Genomic DNA, 20,008 nt, shown 5'->3' with positions numbered 1-20,008 from the left:
TAAGAATAAAGGTATTCATTGGAAAAAATGCCTATACTCAACTTTTTAAATGAAGACAACAAAGCTAAATTTTAACACCTAAAGTCTTCTAAAGAAACAACAAATTGAAGGAAATTTAAGAAAAGCTTAGTACTAGATATTTAAGAATGATATCTGGGTAATCAAATGAATTGCTGTACTGTGTAACCCGTAAATCTCTGAAAACTTAGGAAATTGAATATCTGATTATTTGTAATTTCCAGGCTCTAAGTAGGGGCCATTTAACTTATTCAGTTGTTAGAACTAACACTTAACACTTTATTCAATTGAGACTAGAATAAAGTAAGCATTTCACAGATAGAGACTAAAGAAGCTTATCTCATCTGTTTCTCCAGGTTCCATGCTCCTCTGCAGCTCTGGCTGTATTTATGTTTAATCATGCAGTTTCAGTCAGCAATTGAGAAATGTGGAGCACAACTCATGCATTTATCAGAAGCTACAGAATTTAGTTTCCTGAACTAAAAAAAAACCACTCTTATAGTACCCACTATTTGCAAACATCCAGAGAAATGGGCACAATAGTAAATTACAGGTGAAAGTACAATCTTTATAAATAGCAATTTGGCAATAAATAAATATCCAAGCCTTAAAAACATGCAAACTATTTTATCCAGCAACTTCTCTTCTAGGAGTTTATATATTTACATATAATTGTACATAATTATATATAATTAAGGATATTTACAAAGATTTAGCTACAATGATGTACCTTGCAGTATTTATTAAAATAGTGAAAAAGAAGAAAAACTATTAAATTTCTAACAATAATTTATTGGTGAAATACAATACTACATAATGGAAAGCTATGCAGCCATTAAATAATATCAAATATATACTTACTGGTATGTAATACGTTTCTGATAAGTGAAAAAAGCAAGTTATAAAACAGTATTACAGTATGATCAAATTCTTGTTTAAAAAATTGTGTATATATATATACACTCCCTAAAAAATATTAATGTTTATCTACCTCTCATTAGTAAGAGTACTGATTTTCATGTTTATTTTTATGTATAATAAAGATGTTTTATGAAGTCTCCAGTTTTTTTTTAAAGAAAAAAACAATTTAAAATTCTCAAAGTATATTGGAATGCATAACAACATAATCAAACCAATTAATTTATCAGGCACAAATTCTACATAAGGCATTGTTCTAACCAAATAATTTGTAGATTATACGCCTAATTTCAAAGAACTTACAATCTATTTAATAATGTTATTAAAAGGTCAAAAGATTTCAAAAGAAAAATTGATTCCAAAAGCAATAAATTTTAAAAACCATTTCAGAACAGTTATATGAAGTGGTAAAATCACTATCATCTGAATTAAATATAACCTATATTATATATATAGCCTAGTTTATGTGGCCTTTATTACACTGATGAAATAGCTACAGTATGGTCTAATGTCTACCTTTAAACCTTTGCTTTCTCCTTTCATCTTCAGCCTGGTTCCAAATTCCCAATAAAAGATACACAGGGTACTGGCAGGTATATATTTATTTATTTTAGGGAGGGAATAGTAAGGAATAGTCAATCATAAGATATTTTATTAATTTGTAAATCAGGGCCAGGCACGGTGGCTCATGTTTGTAATCCCAGCACTTTGGGAGGCCGAGGTGGAGGGACTGCTTGAGGCCAGGAGTTCGAGACCAGCCTGACCAACATGGCAAAACCCTGTCTCTACTAAAAATACAAAAATTAGCCAGGTGTGGTGCCACGCACCTGAAATCCTAGCTACTTGGGAGGCTGAGGCACAAGAATTGCTTGAACCCAGGAGGCAGAGGTTGCAGTGAGCAGAGATGGCATCACTGCACTCCAGCCTGGGCGGCAGAGCGAGACTGCATATCAAAAAAAAAAAAAATTTGTAAATCAAACTGATTTTATCCATTCAGTCAGCTCTGAACATAGAAAAGAAATGGCAACTTATCAGCATTTGTGGATATTTCAAAGTTATCTGAAAAGTACAAAAGGCTTTTCTTAATGGATACAATAAAATCCATAATTGCTCAAAACTATGGTTTCAAGACAAAACCCCCAAACACATCTACAATCCCACAAACTTTTGCCCACATGAGATCAAAACGGAAAGAAGGTACCGACATCATAGTTCTCCAGGTATCTGGCTCGTTCTTCAGGGCTCATTGACACAGATTCCTCCAGGAATTTTTTCAAGGTTGATCCAGATTCTGAGAATATGAAAGAAGATAAAATTAAAAAGGCTTGATACAGCAGAGAGACCAATATATGAAAATACTAGAAGTATGCTACTATTTTTCAGGTTAAATTCTTTCATTGGTAGGTTAGAAATGTAAGGATCATGTTATAAATGATAAGCCTTACATTATTAATATTTGTCCATTTGTTTAACCCCTATTAGTCAACAATATAAAAGAATGAGAAGGATTAATATTTCTTCTAACAGTATATACATTCCCATCATCAAGGAAGCAGGGAATGCTTTATTTTATAGTTTGAAGAAAGAATTAGAGCACCACCTACTGCTCAATGCAATTAACTTGTATCTTAAGGGGGAAAAAATGCAGTAATGAAAAATCATTTACCAAAGTGCATCTTGTCTTTATTGTTTGCAATAGCATGAATCAGTCCAATTGTTCCACAGGCATTGCTGATTGTTTGCTTCATGAAATATACTGATGATGTAACATCTTGTCCCTGAGATTTTATTTTTTCTTCCTCTTCTGTTCTGAATACTTCATACTATTAAAAAAAAAAAGTCAACAGTGTATTTGTGGAAAATAACATATTAAAAAACTCAGTCTGTAAAAGAAAAAATGCAAATGATAAAAAATATTATTATGAAAGAAAGGGTTTAAAATAAAAGAATTAATTTATCACCTACCAGACTGACAAAAGATTGAAAAATGAATAGCAGTAGCCAGTGAAGGTGAAGGTATGGGGAAAAAGGCATTCTCCTATGCTGTTATTAAAAGTATGTATTTGTACGATCACGTTACAGGGCATATGGCAATATGTATTAACATTTTAAATTCTCATACACTCCAATAAGCAATTTCCTTTGTAGGAGATTGGTCTAAGACATCAATGGAGATTTGGTTAAAATATATTATGGCATATCGTAATAGAATACTATAAAGCATAATAGATTTACATATTCTGATTTAGAACTTTGTCCACAACTAAGTGTGGTTATAGGTCAGTTTATATTAATAACAATTCCCATTTATGTTTTTAAAATATGTATATACACATTGGAAAGTCTGAAAGGGTGTGCAAAAACTTAATAGAGGTTATCTTTGGGCCAAGAGATTACTGGAGAACTTTTACTTGCTAATTGTTACGTTTCTATATTGTTTATCATTGGCAAAAATATTTTTCCTTTTGGAAAATCATAGCATATTTATAAAATTCACATTATATAATCTGTAACTGACACTAACCATTATCTATAATAACTGGTTGTAAAAGCAATAGGGTATAATAATAAGCATCAAAAATGTGGGCTCTATAGCTGACTGCCTGGGCCCACGTCCTGGCTCAGCTGTTATTAGCTGTGTGACTTTAGCAAATTATTTAATGTCTCTGTATCTCAGTTTCCTAATAGTAAGAAAGAGTAAAAAATAGCAAAAAGGTTAAAAAATCGGTGAGGTGGGGAGGAGAAAGATGATTTTATTGTTTTGTTTATAGTTTTTCCATAACTTTCTGCTTCCAATAGAGCGGGGTCAGCAAATGACAGCCTACAGGCCAAATCTGGCCCACTGCCTCTTTTCATAAGTAAAATTTCATTATGTATTGTCTATGGCTGTTTACAAGGCAAAGTCAAATAGTTGCAACAGACACTTAAAGGCCTGCAAAGCTGAAAATATTTACTATCTAGTCCTTTACAGAAACATTTTCCTGATCCCCTGCAATAAAAGAAACAAACGATGTCTATAGAAAACCTACAAGTAGTTAAGAAACTGCTTCTTTTATCTCTTGCCTATGGAAGAAAAAAATAATAGACTGCTTCTAACAACAAATGTATCTGTGCTCAAAATATGAATTTTATTATTGTGCTTCTAAATTACATTTTAAGTAACACTATCAGAATAAATGGACATTATTCATGTAAGTTCGATTGATAAAAAACTGGAAAGGTTCAGTATGTTAAGGTCTTATGCTGAAAAGTTTACAGTTCTACAGCTTAGTCTGTTGTTAATGTTCCTGATGACAAAGCAAAATAAGATTTGATAATTTCAAGATGTAATGTGTAGGAAAAATTCCTAAAATGATACAAAGCAACTAAAGGAAAAAAAGAAATTATGGTAGATCAAAAAATTAAAAAAAATAAGGCCAAGAGACATAAATATCAGAGAGAAATAAAATTTATAGCCTCTTTGCCTATGATTTACTGGCTGGACCGCACTATCACAAAGAACACATTCAAAACACTATCACTGGCCGGGCGCAGTAGCTCACACCTGTAATCCCAGCACTTTGGGAGGCTGAAGGGGGTGGATCATCTGAGGTCAGGAGTTCAAGACCAGCCAGGCTAACATGGTGAAACCCCGTCTCTACTGAAGATACAAAAATTAGCCAGGTGTGGTGGCACATGCCTGTAATCCCAGCTACTCCAGAGACTGAGCCATGAGAATCGCTTGAACCCAGGAGGCAAAGGTTGCAGTGAGCTGAGATGGCACCACTGCACTACAGCCTGGGCAACAGAGCAAGACTCTGTCTCAAAACAAATGATAACAACACAACACTATCATTGATGGTAATTATCAAAAAGAGATAATAAATAATGGTGAGGGTGTGGAGAAAAGGGAACCCAAGTGCACTGTTGGTGGGAATGCAGATTGGTACAGCCATTATGAAAAACAGTATGGAGATTTCTAAAGAAATTAACAATAGACTACCATATGACCCAGCAATTCATATCCAAAGGAGACAATCACCTTGTAAAGGAGATGAATCTCTACCTTGTAAAGATATCTGCACTTTAGGCCAGGCGTAGTGGCTCACACCTGTAATCCCAGCACTTTGGGAGGCCAAGGCGGGTGGATCACGAGGTCAGGAGATCGAGACCATCCCAGCTAACATGGTGAAACCCCGTCTCTACTAAAAATACAAAAAATAAGCCGGGCGTGGTGGCAGGCACCTGTAGTCCCAGCTACTCGGGAGGCTGAGGTGGGAGAATGGCGCGAACCCAGGAGGCGGAGCTTGCAGTGAGCCGAGATCGCACCACTGCACTCCAGCCTGGGCAACAGAGCGAGACTCCATCTCAAAAAAAAAAAAAGATATCTGCACTTCCATGTTCACTGCAGCATTACTCAGGATAGCCAAGATATGGAAACAAACCAAATGTCCATAGATGGCTAAATGGATAAAAACATGGTATAGTCTATGACCATAGTACCCTGAATGTACCCAATCCTATCTGATCTCAGAAGTTAAGCAGGGTTGGACCTTGTTAGTACTTGGTTGGGAGAAAAGGTGGCATAGATATAGACACACACACACACACACACACAGAAATATTATTCGGCTTTAAAAAAGGGAGATCCTAACATTTGCTACATGGATGAACCTGAAGGACATTATACTAAGTGAAATAAGCCAGACACAGAAAGAAAAATATTGTATAATATCACTGATACATGGAAAAGCTCAAATACACAGAGAACGAAACAGAGGTTAGCAGGGATGTGATGTGATGTAGGTCAAAGGACACAAAATAGCAGATGTATAGGAAAAACAAGTAGAAGACTAAAGTTAATAAAATCATATTGCATTAGAAATTTTTGTTAAATAAGATTTTAGCTGCTCTTGTAACAAAAAAAGTAACTATGTGATGATAGATATATTAATCTGCTTCACTATTGTAACTATTTTACTATGTATATGAACCCAATATCATGTTGTAAACTTCAAATATACACAATAAAATTTATTTTTAAAAACCCACCATGATTGACTTTAAAGGGTAATGAGTCACACCTATAATCCCAGCACTCTGGGAGACCAAAGTGGGCAGATCATTCAAAATCAGGAGTTCAAGACCAGCCTGACCAACATGGTGAAACCCTGTCTCTACTAAAAATACAAAAAATTAGCCAGGTATAGTGGCACACGCCTGAAATCCCAGCTACTCCAGAGACTGAGGCAGAAGAATCACTTGTACCTGGGAGGCATGGGTTGCAATGAACTGAGATCGCACCACTGCACTCCAGATTGGGCGACAGAGTGAGATGCTGTCTCAAAAAATAAGTAAACATAAACATATATATACATACATACATACATACATACATACATACATACATAAAGGATAATGAGGTACCCATGACAGTTCCTTTGCTATTAGTATGCTTAAGTCATTCACAACTACATATTCAATTTCTAAATTGGAACTTCAAAGACAAACACTTTGCAGCTCCTAAAGAATGCACTAGATATCCTCTTAATAACTTTGCAATATATCACCTATAAGCTGAAATAGGGATCTACAAAACTGTAAGACATCTAAAAGTAGTACATGCTATTTATATTCTCTACTTACATGTTATTATAGTTATATAAGTAAAGTATTTATGCTTACTTATATATTTACTTACATCATTTTCTACTTATGTAAGTACAAATTTACTTACGCAAATACTTTAGAACTGTGTTCTTCCTTTCAACAGGGACAAGTTTTTAGCTCTGATAATCTACTAAATTAAATCCTATTGATAAGGATAATATGCCTTTTTAATGCTGATGACTCACTAAATGAAAGAGATCAAATCTAATTTATTTTTTACAAAAAAAGTCATAAAAAATCAATGGTTTGGAAATTTCCAATTCAGACAAAAAAACTCCTATTTGTATCACCTCAGCTAAGAAACCCTAAGCTTTAGGCAACTGATTTTTTTTTCAATTATTTACTGTTCATTACAACTGGGGTCCTGGAATAGTTATCTGTTGGCTTATTTTTGTAATCAAAAAAGGTAAAAGTAACATTGTATTAAAAGAGAGTAAACTTAAGTTTTTGTCTCAACTCTTCTACAAATGTCAGTAATCATAACCTTACCATTGTGTAGGGGTTTGGTCTAATACTAGACAATCAGTAAGAAATTCCTAACTCCAAATTTCTCTATTATGAATAGTAAATGCAAAGAAATATCATTTCTTTTATTGAATAATTTGTTTTGTAGAACCCTTAAGTAGAAGAGAAAAAATTTTCAATGTTATTTAATTTATCTTGAATTGAGGCTAATTTGTTATAGCATAAAGAAAATGATCCAGGAATTTCCAGGACTAAGCAAAGTCTTAAATCCTGTGGGATTTGGCTCCATTTAGTCCTGAAGAATAGGATGACCTGAGCACAAATATGACAAATCATCAACATATTTCTCTCACATCTTCCCATTTACTTCTTCATTTTTCATAACTACTGCAATCATCCTACTGTTTCTAATTTTAAAAATAAAAATCAGAAGGATATAGCCTCAAAATCTATTATAAAATGCACTTAAAAGTTCTGGCTCCACTATACATATATATGTGCATGTGTGTGTATATATGTATACGTATATACGTATGTATATATGTATACGTATGTATACGTATACGTATATACGTACGTATATACGTATACGTATGTATACGTATACATATATACACACACACAGAAACATACACATATATCATTCTAGAAAAAAAGACTAAAATATGTAGACTTGAATTTAAATACAGAGCTCAAAGAACAGCTATTTATAATCCCCAACACACCCTAAAGCTGCCAATTAAAATATATTTAAGCTTAGTGATTCCCATTCAAGTTTATTTTGAAAATAATGTAACCTACATTATCAGTTTCCCCTACCAACTTAAAATAAGCAAAGAAGATTCCTTATATATATATATATTGAAAAAACTGTATTTAAGTTTATTCTAGTACTTAAAATTTCTAAAACAGATAAATCAAAATGTGACATCAAAACACAGCTGAGGCAAACTAACCAAATTTTTATTAAAGAAGAAAATTTACCAAAGCTTAAAGCACTAACCTAGGACTTTACTGTCATCAAAATAGAAATATCATCTCTTTAATAAAAAGTTTTAAGATTTCTTTACTGACTAGATTGCCTAATTTTATGCAAGAAGGGGATCATTTGTTCTTAAAGATTGTATTTATCAAAAACTTTGTAAATTAAAAAAAGAAGAAAAAGAAATTGGGCTGGGAACAGTGGCTCATGCCTATAAGCCCAGCACTTTGGGAGACCGATGCGGGAGGATCACTTGAGCCCGAGTTGGAGACCAGACCAGGCAACACGGTGAGGCCCTGTCTCTACAAAAATAAAACACAAGCATCAGCTAGGTGTGGTGGAACATGCCTGTGGTCCCAGCTACTCGAAAGGCTAAGGTGGGAGGATCGCTTGAGCCTGGGAGGTTGAGACTGCAGTAAGCCATGATTACACCTCTGCACTCCAGCCTAGGCAACAGAGCGAGATACTGCCTCAAAAAATAAGACAGAATAAAACAAAAATTGTATTTACCAGAAACTTTCTATTTTACATAACAATTACCTTTTCTGTAATAGGAAAGAGAAGTAAGACTGCACAGACTGGTCTTGGTACCATGCTAAGGAGTTCAGGATCCATTCCATATACATCAACGAATTGCCAGTTAGGATGTAGACCTAATTGTTTAAGAAACTGGTAAAAGAAAGAAAGAAAAAAAAAACAATGGAACATTAGTTGGTAAAAGAAAACTAGTATACTATACATAGTGTTAAAAGGGAAATGATCAACAAATATGTACTCTGTATCTAATACCTATAAAGGGATAAAATACAAATGTAACTGACATTCAGTAGGAATGCAGTAAAGCAGCACATATCAAAACATCACAATGCACACTCTAAATATGTTCAATTTTTGTCAATTATACTTCAGTAAAACTAGGGGGGCAGAATGGTAGTAAAGCAGATTTTCTATGAATAGGGTGAGAAGAGATAGCAATTTATTTATAGCACATAACAAACATTTAACATTCATAACATGTGAAATAAAACCTCTTTTTTCAAACTCCATTTCTTTGGAATTGAATTTAATAAGCCTGGACTTCATCAAATACATATAAGTTGGCTTGGTTGATATGTTAAACTCATTTCCAGCACTTGGTTTTTAAGGAGAGGCATTTAAGTTATAGTAAATAAATATTTTATCAGAAAATCAACATAGTTTATCCTATTTACCAAAAATGATGTCTGAGGTTTAAAGATAGATTGATAGCCATGAATTGTATCAATGAGCAAAGAGTAATATAAGCCAAAAATGTATCTAATGCATTGTATGAACAACAGAAAATGCTGGATATAGGAAGTAAACTACTGGCTTCCTGGCCTCTACTACACAATGAAACCTACTTAACTTCATTGCCTCTCTTATATCTGGCAAAATAACTGTAACAAAAAATTAGTGTTTTTTTTACAATTCTTAAGATGTCACAGGAAAATAAAATGTCAGACCTTAATCTATCACATAGAGAAAAAATGAGAATGTCATTTTCACAATTAATAACTTTATATCGAAAGAAGCTGATAACTTTTTAAGTACATCATTACAAAATAAGTTTTAGATGATAGAAAAAAGGAATAGAGGAAACAAAAATCATATTAAAAATGCATCACTATATCTTACCTCAAGAACACATTATAGTATTTGCTGGTCTAACATCTGAAATTTTGAAATTAAAAACAAACAAAAAAGGTGCCATAGGCATTTCTCCCTGAAGAATGATCACATGTACTTAGATCATCAAATGAGGTCTTGCAAAACCAGTGGAAGCCATGACACGTATATAAACAGTGCTATTCATCTCACATGCATTTGAGTTTTGTAAGACAAGACCTTCCTGTTTAAAGGGCAACTATCCTTATCCCTTCATTTCTCTGCTTGTAGAAGATAATCTACTTGCTAATGATATCATTGGTCAAAAATAAGGTTCTAGGTATGTTTAATAAGAAACGTAGTGATTTATAAAAACTTTCTTAGAAGAATGTGTTCAGCAAAGATTAGGTTCATTCTTGGAACAAGTCACATGCCCTATAAGAGTCCGGGGCTGAGGGCCGGGCGCGGTGGCTCACGCCTGTAATCCCAGCACTCTGGGAGGCCGAGGCGGGTGGATCACGAGGTCAGGAGATCGAGACCATCCTGGCTAATACGGTGAAACCCCGTCTCTACTAAAAATACAAAAAAATTAGCTGGGCGTGGTGGCTGGCGCCTGTATTCCCAGCTACTCGGGAGGCTAAGGCAGGAGAATGGCATGAACCCGGGAGGCGGAGCTTGCAGTGAGCAGAGATTGCGCCACTGCACTCCAGCCTGGGCTACAGAGCCAGACTCCGTCTCAAAAAAAAAAAAAAAAAAAAAAAAAAAGAGTCCGGGGCTGAGGAGATCAATGGGCTCCTCTACATTATATCCATTCTTACTTGGTTCTATTTATAGTTCACTAAAGCACTTCGAACTACTTCCTGCTCCTTTCTCCACTTCCTGCAAGCTTCCTAGTCTATGCTTTTTCAGTATTCAATTCTATCTAAAAACCAAAAAGGATAAAAATTAACTGCCAAGTCAAGGGAAAAAACTGTGTCTTATTCAATGTTTTTAATCTCATTGCCTAGCACTGTACATGGCTGAATCACAGACACCCAAGGTATATTTCTAGAACTGACTAAAGATTACATCTCTACTTTAGTAGATAACCTAGCCATCTGTATGTCTATATACATCAGTGAAGCCTCTGTATAATGAGGAAAAGAAGTAGAAAAGATACCTTTGGCTCCTAATCTAAAACCCTAGCATTCATTAATCAAATCAGAAGACTACCTAAATTGCCTTTTAAGGAAAAGTATCATGAACCCTGATAAGAGAATTTAAATTTATTTGTTAATTTTATGTACCCACAAAGTCATCCTGTTATAAAGTTATAAAACACGATGGTACATACAACAGAGCAATTTTACATCTGTGCTGCAAACTAAAAGTCACAGTTAGAATATTTTAGTGAAAGGTCTGGACAAAATCAGCAAGTACTGTAAATCAGTTCACTGCAAATCTACTCTATGTCAGCCAAAGCTAACAAGTACAAAAAGTACTAGGAACCAAACGCAGCCACTGTAGTGATACCAATTAGTATCAAACTGAGGACATAATGAATGATCCAATAGTAGATAAAATCATAACTTGATTAAATTTTAACCAGAATCATGCTTTTTAACTTCTTACTCATATCAACAATTAAATGAGATAGATATAAAGAAATTCAATGCAACTAATATCTACTGAATATATTGTTAGATCCTGACTCCAGATTGCCATGAGTCAGGCTCACCAGAAGCTATCTGAATACAAAGAATAAAAGCAGCTATAAAGACTACCTCTGGGAAATGGAGAAAGGGTAGAGAAGAGGGTCAACTTTTACCACTCACGTCTTCAAAAAAAAAAAAAATCATTAAAATGTCCTACTTTTACAATTAAAAAAAAAAAACCCTGTGTTTGAAATGATCATATGCAAATACAGAAAGATAGGAAGGAAATTTTCTAAAATGTTAGCAGTTAGCTTGGGTGGTGTGAATCCACCTTTCTATTTTCTAGTATTTTATAAAAGCATTAGTTTTACAATAATTATATGTAGCTGTAAGTTACAAATCTATAGAACTGATACACATATGTATTCTATTTAAATTTACAAAACTGGGAGAAAACACAAAATGATGGTCTTAAAACTATACCAAAAATATTTTTCCAGACTGCTCACAAAGATAATTATCTATACATGCATTTGCAAAGCCATCTCTACACAGTTAATTAGAAGCATCCCATTTACATCAAGCAGGATAAAAGGTTTCATAACCTCTATCACCAGTCTTCTGGCTTTTCAAACTTAAATATTGAGTAATAAAATAACCAAAAAAACCTCTGACTAACTCAACAAATTTTCACAATGCCTCTAAAATTTTGGCCAATTGAGAAAAATAATTAATAAATTATAGTATTTGGCTGTTAAAAAATCTTCAGTCAACTTATTCTTTTTATTCTATGGTCCAATGACAAATTTTTCACTAGATAAAGAATATTTAAAATTATTTGTAAATATGTTTTGAGACCCTTGTATGTGAGGAGCTAGGAGCAGTACCCACTTCACCTCTACTGCCATGGCAAGGCAGGTTTCATTTTATCTTCCTTTTTTTTTTTCAGACAGGGTCTTGCTCCATTGCCCAGGCTGGAGTGCAGTGACAACAATCACAGCTCACTGCAACCTCTAATTCCTGAGCTGAAGGAATCCTCCTGCCTCAGCCTCCCAGATAGCTGAGACTACAGGCATACATCATCACAGCCAGCTAAATTTTTTTATTTTTTAGTAGAGACGTCTCACTATGTTGCCCAAGCTGGTCTGAAATCCTACACTCAAGCAATCCTCTGGCCCCGGCCTCCCAAAGTGCTCACTAGCTGTGAACCACTGCACTCAACCCAGTGTATCCTTTTACCAGCCAATAAGAAAACTACGTCTGGGAGGTTAAGTGCTTTTTCGAGGCCACCTGCCAGAACTCACATGCAAGGATCTGAACACTATGGCACCTATTTACTTTTCCAGCTTCATTTCTCTCTGCCCAGAGTATCTTTTTGGTACTTTATTCTCTAACTTGGCCACAATGAACTCCTGAGAGTTTTCAAACTGTCTATAACCATCTCTTCCCTCCAGGTTTTTGCATACAAACTAGACTTAAAAACCTAGACACACAAACGAGTCTTAAAAACCTGTTCGTTCCTGTCCCTAAATTATAACAAATTCTTCCTCATTCTTTAGGTGACAGTCAAATAACAAAAACTCTGATTTTATAAATTAAAAAAATAGATAAAATTCACTTTCCTTTCAAATTTGTTCTTAAAGCCACTTCCTCTGGTCTTTAATGGTCTGTTCAGGGCAGCCAGAGATTCTGCCCTGTTACTAATTTATTAATGATTTGAATTATGATGTAAAATTATACTTACCTAGCAATTACTTGATATTACTGCCAGTAAACTAGTATTAACTGCTAAATGTAGAAGTAGAATAACTATTAGTTAAATGAGAAAATGGCAGTGTAGAAACTAGCAAAAATAAATTTTAATGAGACAGAATAATTATTAAAGTACATAATGAGGAAACACTGAAAACACTTTATGTGTGGATTAAGAAAAAATGAAGTTTACTTCACTGCAGGCTCAATATGGACTAACTACAAAATTGCCAACAAAGGTGATACAATGTTAGTTTGCTTTAAAAGAAGGATCATTTAAGATAATGTAATAGCCCACTGTACTCGACATAGATTACTCAGCAGAAAATATGCCTATAGGAGGCATATTTTATGAAAGTCAATGACCAAGAAAAGAAAGCCCAAAGGCAGGTGACCAGTATGATAAGGTTCTGGAAGACATCACAGCTAAAGTTTCTAAGCATGTTCAGAGAGGACTTAAATTACTATGATCCCTGTCCCTGGATATTTTTAGTAATATCATAAAATAGCAATTGGGAGCCAGGTACAGTGGCACATGCCTGTAGTCCCAGCTACTCAGGAGGCTGAGGTGGCAGAATTGTTTGACCCCAGGAGCTGGAGGCCAGCCTGGGCAACATAGTGTGACCTCCATCTCAAAAAGAAATAAATTTTTTTAATTTAAAGAGTTTTTTAAAGAGCAATTAGATTTACTCTATGGTTTCAATGAGAATGATAGACAACTGGAGAAAGTTACGGGAAAGCAGATTTTGTTTCAATAAAAGAAATATAATTCTTCTACTTATATATTATTATAATAAAAAATTAAACCACTTTAAGAGATAGAATGCTGCTCATTGAACTAGGCAAAGGATTCATGACCGCATTAAAGATAATGTTGGGAGATCTTCTGGAGCAGGAAAGCAGCTTTATAAGATCTATTCATTCTTCCATCTGACAACTACATATTTGTTGATGGCCCCGTGAGCCTGGCACCGTTCTCATACTTCAGACGCATCCCTGCTCTCACAGAACTTATATTCTAGTGGTAAGATACACATGATAAACAAGTATACACATAAACAAGATAATTTCACAAAGTGGGAAGTACTGTGAAGAAAATAAAACAAGTGAGGATGACAGTACAGATTTGGGGGGCTAATTTAGCTGTGTACTCAAAGACTCACTGATGAGATGACTTGAACTTGAGCCACAGATGACAAGAACCTACCATGAAACAAACAGGAGTGGATGACTCAAGCAAAGGATGAGCAAGTGCAAAGACTCTGAAGCAGGAACAGACTCCACATTCGAAGACTGCAGCACAGCATGAGCGGGTCAGAGATGGGCAGTACCTCCTCATTCAGCCATGATAAAAGCTTGAAATGGAGCTGGATGCCATTATCCTTAGCAAACTAATGCAAGAACAGAAAACCAAATACCGCATGTTCTCACTTGTGAGAGCTAAATGATGAGAACACATGGATACAAAGACAGGAACAGACATTGGAGCCTACCTGAAGGTGAAGGCTGAGGAGAGGATCAGAAACAATAACTATTAGGTACTAGGTTTAGTACCTGGGTGATGAAATAATCTGTACAACAAATCCCTGTGACATGAGTTTACCTATATAACAAATCTACACATGTACCCCTGAAGCTAAAAGTTTAAAAAAACAAAAAAGTTTCAAGTATCTTCTAAGGACAAGCATTGGAAGACCAGTAGAGTATGATAAGCAGGAAGTCATAAGATGTGATTCTCATTTATTTAAGGCCACTTTGGGTGCATATGGAAATTAGATTTTAGGGAAGCAAAAGGAGAAGCAGAAGAACTAGTTAGGAGCCTACTATAGTTGTCCAAGCTAAGGATGGTGGCTTGCACTGTGGCAGCTGAAATGGAATAGCCATATTTGGAATAGCCGTATTTGGAATAGCCTTTGCAAGAAGAGTCCATAAGAGTTGCAGATCAATTAGATCTGAGGAATGAGAAATAGAATATTAAAAATAGCCGACATTCATGGAGAGCATGCTTTGTTCAAGACATTGTTCTACATATTTTATATGTAGTAATTTGATCCTTATAGTGATCTTACAAGATTAGAAGAGATTATAAGAAATGAAGGAACTAGTTGTTTGAGGCCAGGCATTTGAGACCAGCCTGGGAAACAGAGTAAAACCATCTTGTCTCTACAAAAAATACAAAAATTAGCCGGGTGTGATGGTGCAAGCTTGTATCCTACCTACTTGGAAGGCTGAGGTGTGAGGAGTGCTTGAGCCCAGGAATTCCAAGGTTACAGTGAGCTATGATTGTGCCACTGTAATCCAGCCTGCCTGGGAGATAGAACAAGACCCTGTCTTTAAAAAAGGAAAAAAGAAAGAAAGAAATTAAGGAACTAAGACACAAAGAGGTTAGATAACTGTCCATGGTCTCAGAGCTGGTAGATAGCAAAGCAGAGATTACAATCCAAGAATCAAATCAAGATACTACGGCCTCTCTGGAATGGCAATCTGAAAGAAGAATCAACGGCATCAACTCATCACCTCAAACACTGCATGGATGGCTATGCCCTTGGAAGATGGGGAAGAAAAGGGTTTAGAGCAGAGATGGGAAGATGAAAACCCATATTTCTTTTTTGGCCATATTAACTTTAAGGTATCTATAAGACATCCAGATGGAGATACCAAAGAGTTAGCTGAATATACAGGTTTCCAATTTGGTGGCAATGTTAGGGTTTCAAGGAACATGGGGTCATCTATGTGACAATTGATGGTATTAGAACTATACAACAGAAAACATTACTAGGGCAAGAAAACACATAAAAAAGATGAGCAGTCTAGGATGAAGTGGCTGAGGCGCTCCTTAGAAGTTGGAAGGGAGATGATCTAGCAACAGAGACTCTTCGAAGCAATTAGGAAAATAGAGGACCATCAGAATTCTCACAGAAGCCAAGAAAAGATAATGTTTCAATAAAGATGGAGTGAGCTATTCTACCAAATGCTGCTGAAAGGTCAAGAAATATGGTGACAGAAAAGTGATCACTGGATCTGGCAAAGTGGCAATCATTAGTGAACTTGACAAAAAAAGTTACTACGAAATGGTACACACAGAAGCAAGCTACACAGGAATGAATAAGGAAAAGAATGTGAGATGAGGTAGCAGTTGCAGCAGCTATGAACAATTCTTTGTGGAAAGTTTACAAAGAAGGAAAACAGGTAAGGCAGCAGCTCAAGGAGGACAGGATAACAAAGATTTTTTTCCTAAAATGGTATCTACTAATTAGAGAATTCTTATGAGAATTTATATGATTTATTTATTGTGATTATTTAAGGCAATAAGCCAGCAGATGACCTCTAATTCTTTTTCTAACTCTAAGCATACAGGCTAAATAGAATAGTTATGCTAAAGTAAATTTATTTCCCTTTCGGTATTACGCTAGAAAATATTTTGCCTCCTCAATAAAATCACGAGTAGGAATAATAATCCTTGGGGTGGAGAGGGGTCCATATAAACAAAAATCATTAGTTCTGAAGCACAACAATATGTAAAATATACATAATGTGGTTGTACTGTACTCAAATCACAAAAAATAATCACAATGAAGATTTAGTACGGTCATAAATAATAATAATTGCCTATATCACACTCTATAAATGTTGTAATTCTTGATGTTTAATTATCTGTAACTTTCAGCTGCAAGCTGCATTTACCCCTTTAAATGCATAGGTAAATAAAGTAGAGTTTAAAATGTTTAAATAATTTTTTTGATCACTTAACTCATTTTATTCTGATTAAGTCCTACCTGTAGCATAACACAGTATCCTTAAAAGGGCTGACAGCATACTAACCAACAAGAGAAATCACTGTCTACCACATCTGCTGAGACACATGGTTACTAGCTAATGTCTAACAATTAATACTCATCTGCATATAGTAGACATGTGATGGCCATTCTTATACAACACTAGGCATCATCAGAGCCTAAAGCAGTATTTGCTCACATTGATTATAATAACAACACATGCAATTACCAGATGGTAACAGAGTGAGTTCAAGATCCTACCATTCCATTAGGTTGAGGAAATAAAAGAGAGTGGGATGGATATTGCTGTTAGGGTTTATTCATTCTCCAAATTCTAAGTCAGTTAACTAAATTTCTATCCATCTTCTATTCTTGGTTCTGCCACTAAAACATAGAGAATAAAGAAACAACCACAAAATTTTTAGTTATAACCGTTTCTTACATACTTGCCCATTCTCCCACTAAAAGCACATTATTTCTTTAAAAAATCAATTTAAAACAAACTAAATCATGCCAAAGCATGCCAGATATAATGTACAATCATATACTAAATAACATTGTTTGTCTGTTTATATCATCTCAGAAAGGTCTCCTGTCACTATTCCATGTATTACATTTTCCCTGATGGTCTCTATCAAAGCACTATGTTCTTTTTCTTATTGTACTTATAATAAATGCTAATGACTTGTTTGCTTGTTTACTGTCTTTCAACTGGATTGAAAAGCAGAAAACCATGAATATTTTAATCACCAAAGAATCACCAGCTCCTGTTCAGATTACTGGTATTAAAAAAGGTGCCCCTAAAATATTAATGTGTTTGATAGTTTTTCAAGACACCCTAGAAACAAGGTCCACTAGCAGCTGAATCACAGGACGTAAGTTCCTACTTACACAAACTTAGTTTGTTAAAACAATCAACATCATCTAAAAAGTTTTGTTTTTTAGTCTATTGATATGGTTAATTACATTGATTTTTGAATGGTGAACCAGCTTTGCAACACCAGGATAAACTGCTCTTGGTCATATGTTACTTTTTATATATTTATTGCTGCATTCTATTTGCTAATATTTTGTAGAGGATTTCTTACATCCATGTTCATAAGGGATACTGATTTGCAGTTTTCTTAATATGAATTGTCTAGTTTGGCGTCAGGATAATGCTAGCATAAAATGAGTTAGGAAGTGTCTTTTTTTTTTTTTTTTGAGACAGAGTCTTGCTCTGTCATCCAGGCTGGAGTGCAGTGGCACAATCTCGGCTCAATGCAACCTCCGCCTCCCGGGTTCAAGCGATTCTCCTGCCTCAGCCTCCCAAGTACCCGGGATTACAGGAGTGTATCACCACGCCCGTCTAATTTTTGTATTTTTAGCAGAGACGGGGTTTCACCAGCCAGACTGGTCTCGAACTCCTGACCTCAGGTGATCCGCCCACCTCAGCCTCCCAGAGCGCCAGTGCTAGGATTACAGGCGTGAGCCACCGCGCCTGGCCGTCTCCCCTCTTTTATGTTTATGTAGAATTGGTATTATTTCTTCCTTAAATGATCATCTCAAGAGATGCAGAAAAATCATTTGCGAAAAGTCAACATAGATTCATAAGAAAAACTCTCAGCAAACTAGGGGGAAAAGAGGAACTTCCTTAGCCTGATTTAAAAAACATTTACCAAAAACCTAAAGCTAACATATTTAATGGTGAAAGATCAAATGTTTCCTCCCTAAGATAGAGAGCAAGACAGAGGATGTCTCTTTGTCCAGGGAATTTGCTACAAGCTTTGAAAACCAAAAACCAATATTTTTAAGAACACGGTGAATTGTTCCTTGGTGATGAGAAGGAAGATAGTGGAGGTAAAGGGAGTATGATAAACTAGGAGAGCAGTAAAAAAGAAATGAGCTGTTGAGAATGAAAAAAAAAAAAAAAACAGGGTAAAATAAGGCACACCTGAGCAGATCAAAAGTTTATACCTGGTAGCACTTACTCTTCTGAGTGGCTGGGAGATGTTCCCTCCTCCCTCCCCAACCCCCAACCTCCAACACCCAGAAGGAACTTAAATTGCTATAGATTGCAAAGAATGGCGTGGGAACTATTAAACTGAGCTTTCTTTGATACAACAGCAACTAAATGTCCAGCTTTAAAAGACTGGAAGATAAAGGGGGCGTGGCGGGGAAGAAAAGTGACTTCATGGGGCAAGAGATGATTGGAAGATGATTTCATAGTGCAGGCGGTGGATGAAATTACAAGGACTGGGTGGGCGAGTTTACAAAGCTTGGAGTCAGGAAGTGTGGGCAAATTAGTCATCCAAAAGGTACACCGGTAGGAAAATTATGGAATCGGCACTAACAGGAGGCAAAACGAAGAAGGAAGGGGAATAGGAATACAGGGTAAAAGTCCCTCCAAACCTCAGACCCGGAGTCCCCAAGATACGTGGTGACTGCAGAATGGGACCAGAGGAGTGGTGGGAGAATCTTCAGGAGCCAGGTGGCAGCGAGATGGCCCTTTCTGAAAGGGGCGGACCCGCGTAAAGCCGAACAAGAGGGGCCCTCAAGAAATTAAATCCCAGAATCCCTGGAAGCGTGGAGGTGGAGTCCAGCAGGGAAGCGGACCGAGCAGACAGAAAAGACTCCGAGGTCCCGAGCGACAGACACCTCACTCACCTGGTTGGTGACCTGAAAACGAAACAGAGAACACGCTTTAGAGACAAACCACCGTGGACTCGCGGCAGCAAGCCGGCTCCCTCTGCACCTGCCCACGGCCCAGGGCTGCCCCGAAGCGCGCCCACCTCGGGATTGGCCTCCAGCGGCAGCCAGCGTTGACCCTCCATGGCCGCGGTGCCCGGCCCTCCAGCTCTGACAGCCGCCGCCTTCGCCGCCGCCGCCGCTTCCGCCCACGCGCGCCTTGACCTGGGCCCTCCCAACACACCGCCCGGAGGAGGAGCGCCTAAACACCAAAAAGAGTTTGACGGGCCTCTCACCCTCTTAACCGCTCCGTGCAGGGCCGTAGGTCAAGTGTCATATTTTAAATTAAGATGCTGCCGAGGAGAAAAAAATAAGCCAATTTCCTATTTCGGGAGAAAAACAGTATCTGAATCCACAGCCCTCTCCCCTCACGCTTGGACTCTTCCGAGCCGAGCCTTGCCGAGCGCTCGCGTTCTACGCATGCGCCTTGCGCCGGTCTGGGACCGCGTGGTCACCCGCAC

At 36.4% G+C, this 20,008-nt stretch overlaps 1 protein-coding gene across 10 annotated transcripts in view, besides 5 other annotated features; it reads right to left on the bottom strand.

The window, feature by feature from the left end:
- The window catches only part of UCHL3 (ubiquitin C-terminal hydrolase L3), a 56,519-nt gene extending 36,567 nt beyond the window's left edge, over positions 1 to 19,952 (bottom strand). For 6 of the 10 annotated variants that reach the window (XM_011535212.2, NM_006002.5, XM_017020725.2 and 3 more), the window contains exons 1-5: positions 19,592 to 19,663; positions 19,467 to 19,478; positions 8,573 to 8,701; positions 2,603 to 2,759; positions 2,142 to 2,227 (exon numbers count right to left, since the gene is read on the bottom strand). In XM_011535212.2, coding sequence (XP_011533514.1) covers positions 2,142 to 2,227; positions 2,603 to 2,759; positions 8,573 to 8,701; positions 19,467 to 19,478; positions 19,592 to 19,633 — 426 coding nt within the window. In that variant the 5' untranslated portion in view covers positions 19,634 to 19,663. Of the gene's footprint in view, positions 1 to 2,141; positions 2,228 to 2,602; positions 2,760 to 8,572; positions 8,702 to 19,466; positions 19,479 to 19,591; positions 19,664 to 19,783 lie in introns of those variants that run through there. The other 4 variants (XM_011535214.3, NM_001270952.2, XM_011535213.3 and 1 more) reach the window with 2 other exon arrangements.
- Positions 19,199 to 19,278: an enhancer, noted in NCBI's record as "active region_7833". NCBI's record gives its function as "activates an Ori minimal core promoter by ATAC-STARR-seq in GM12878 lymphoblastoid cells {active_cell/tissue: GM12878}" and the evidence as "EXISTENCE:reporter gene assay evidence [ECO:0000049][PMID:35858748]".
- Positions 19,199 to 19,765: a biological region, named in NCBI's record as "H3K27ac hESC enhancer GRCh37_chr13:76123825-76124385".
- Positions 19,205 to 19,765: an enhancer, noted in NCBI's record as "H3K27ac hESC enhancer chr13:76123825-76124385 (GRCh37/hg19 assembly coordinates)". NCBI's record gives its function as "activates a minimal SCP1, AML or CMV promoter by ChIP-STARR-seq in primed H9 embryonic stem cells {active_cell/tissue: H9 hESC(primed)}" and the evidence as "EXISTENCE:reporter gene assay evidence [ECO:0000049][PMID:30033119]".
- Positions 19,339 to 19,388: an enhancer, noted in NCBI's record as "active region_7832". NCBI's record gives its function as "activates an Ori minimal core promoter by ATAC-STARR-seq in GM12878 lymphoblastoid cells {active_cell/tissue: GM12878}" and the evidence as "EXISTENCE:reporter gene assay evidence [ECO:0000049][PMID:35858748]".
- Positions 19,769 to 19,888: an enhancer, noted in NCBI's record as "active region_7831". NCBI's record gives its function as "activates an Ori minimal core promoter by ATAC-STARR-seq in GM12878 lymphoblastoid cells {active_cell/tissue: GM12878}" and the evidence as "EXISTENCE:reporter gene assay evidence [ECO:0000049][PMID:35858748]".

This window comes from Homo sapiens, chromosome 13, assembly GCF_000001405.40.
Source record: "Homo sapiens chromosome 13, GRCh38.p14 Primary Assembly".
In the NCBI taxonomy this organism is placed as follows: domain Eukaryota; kingdom Metazoa; phylum Chordata; class Mammalia; order Primates; family Hominidae; genus Homo; species Homo sapiens.
The sequence above is the reverse complement of the archived record's forward strand: the minus strand, read 5'-3'. Positions and strand labels throughout refer to the sequence as shown.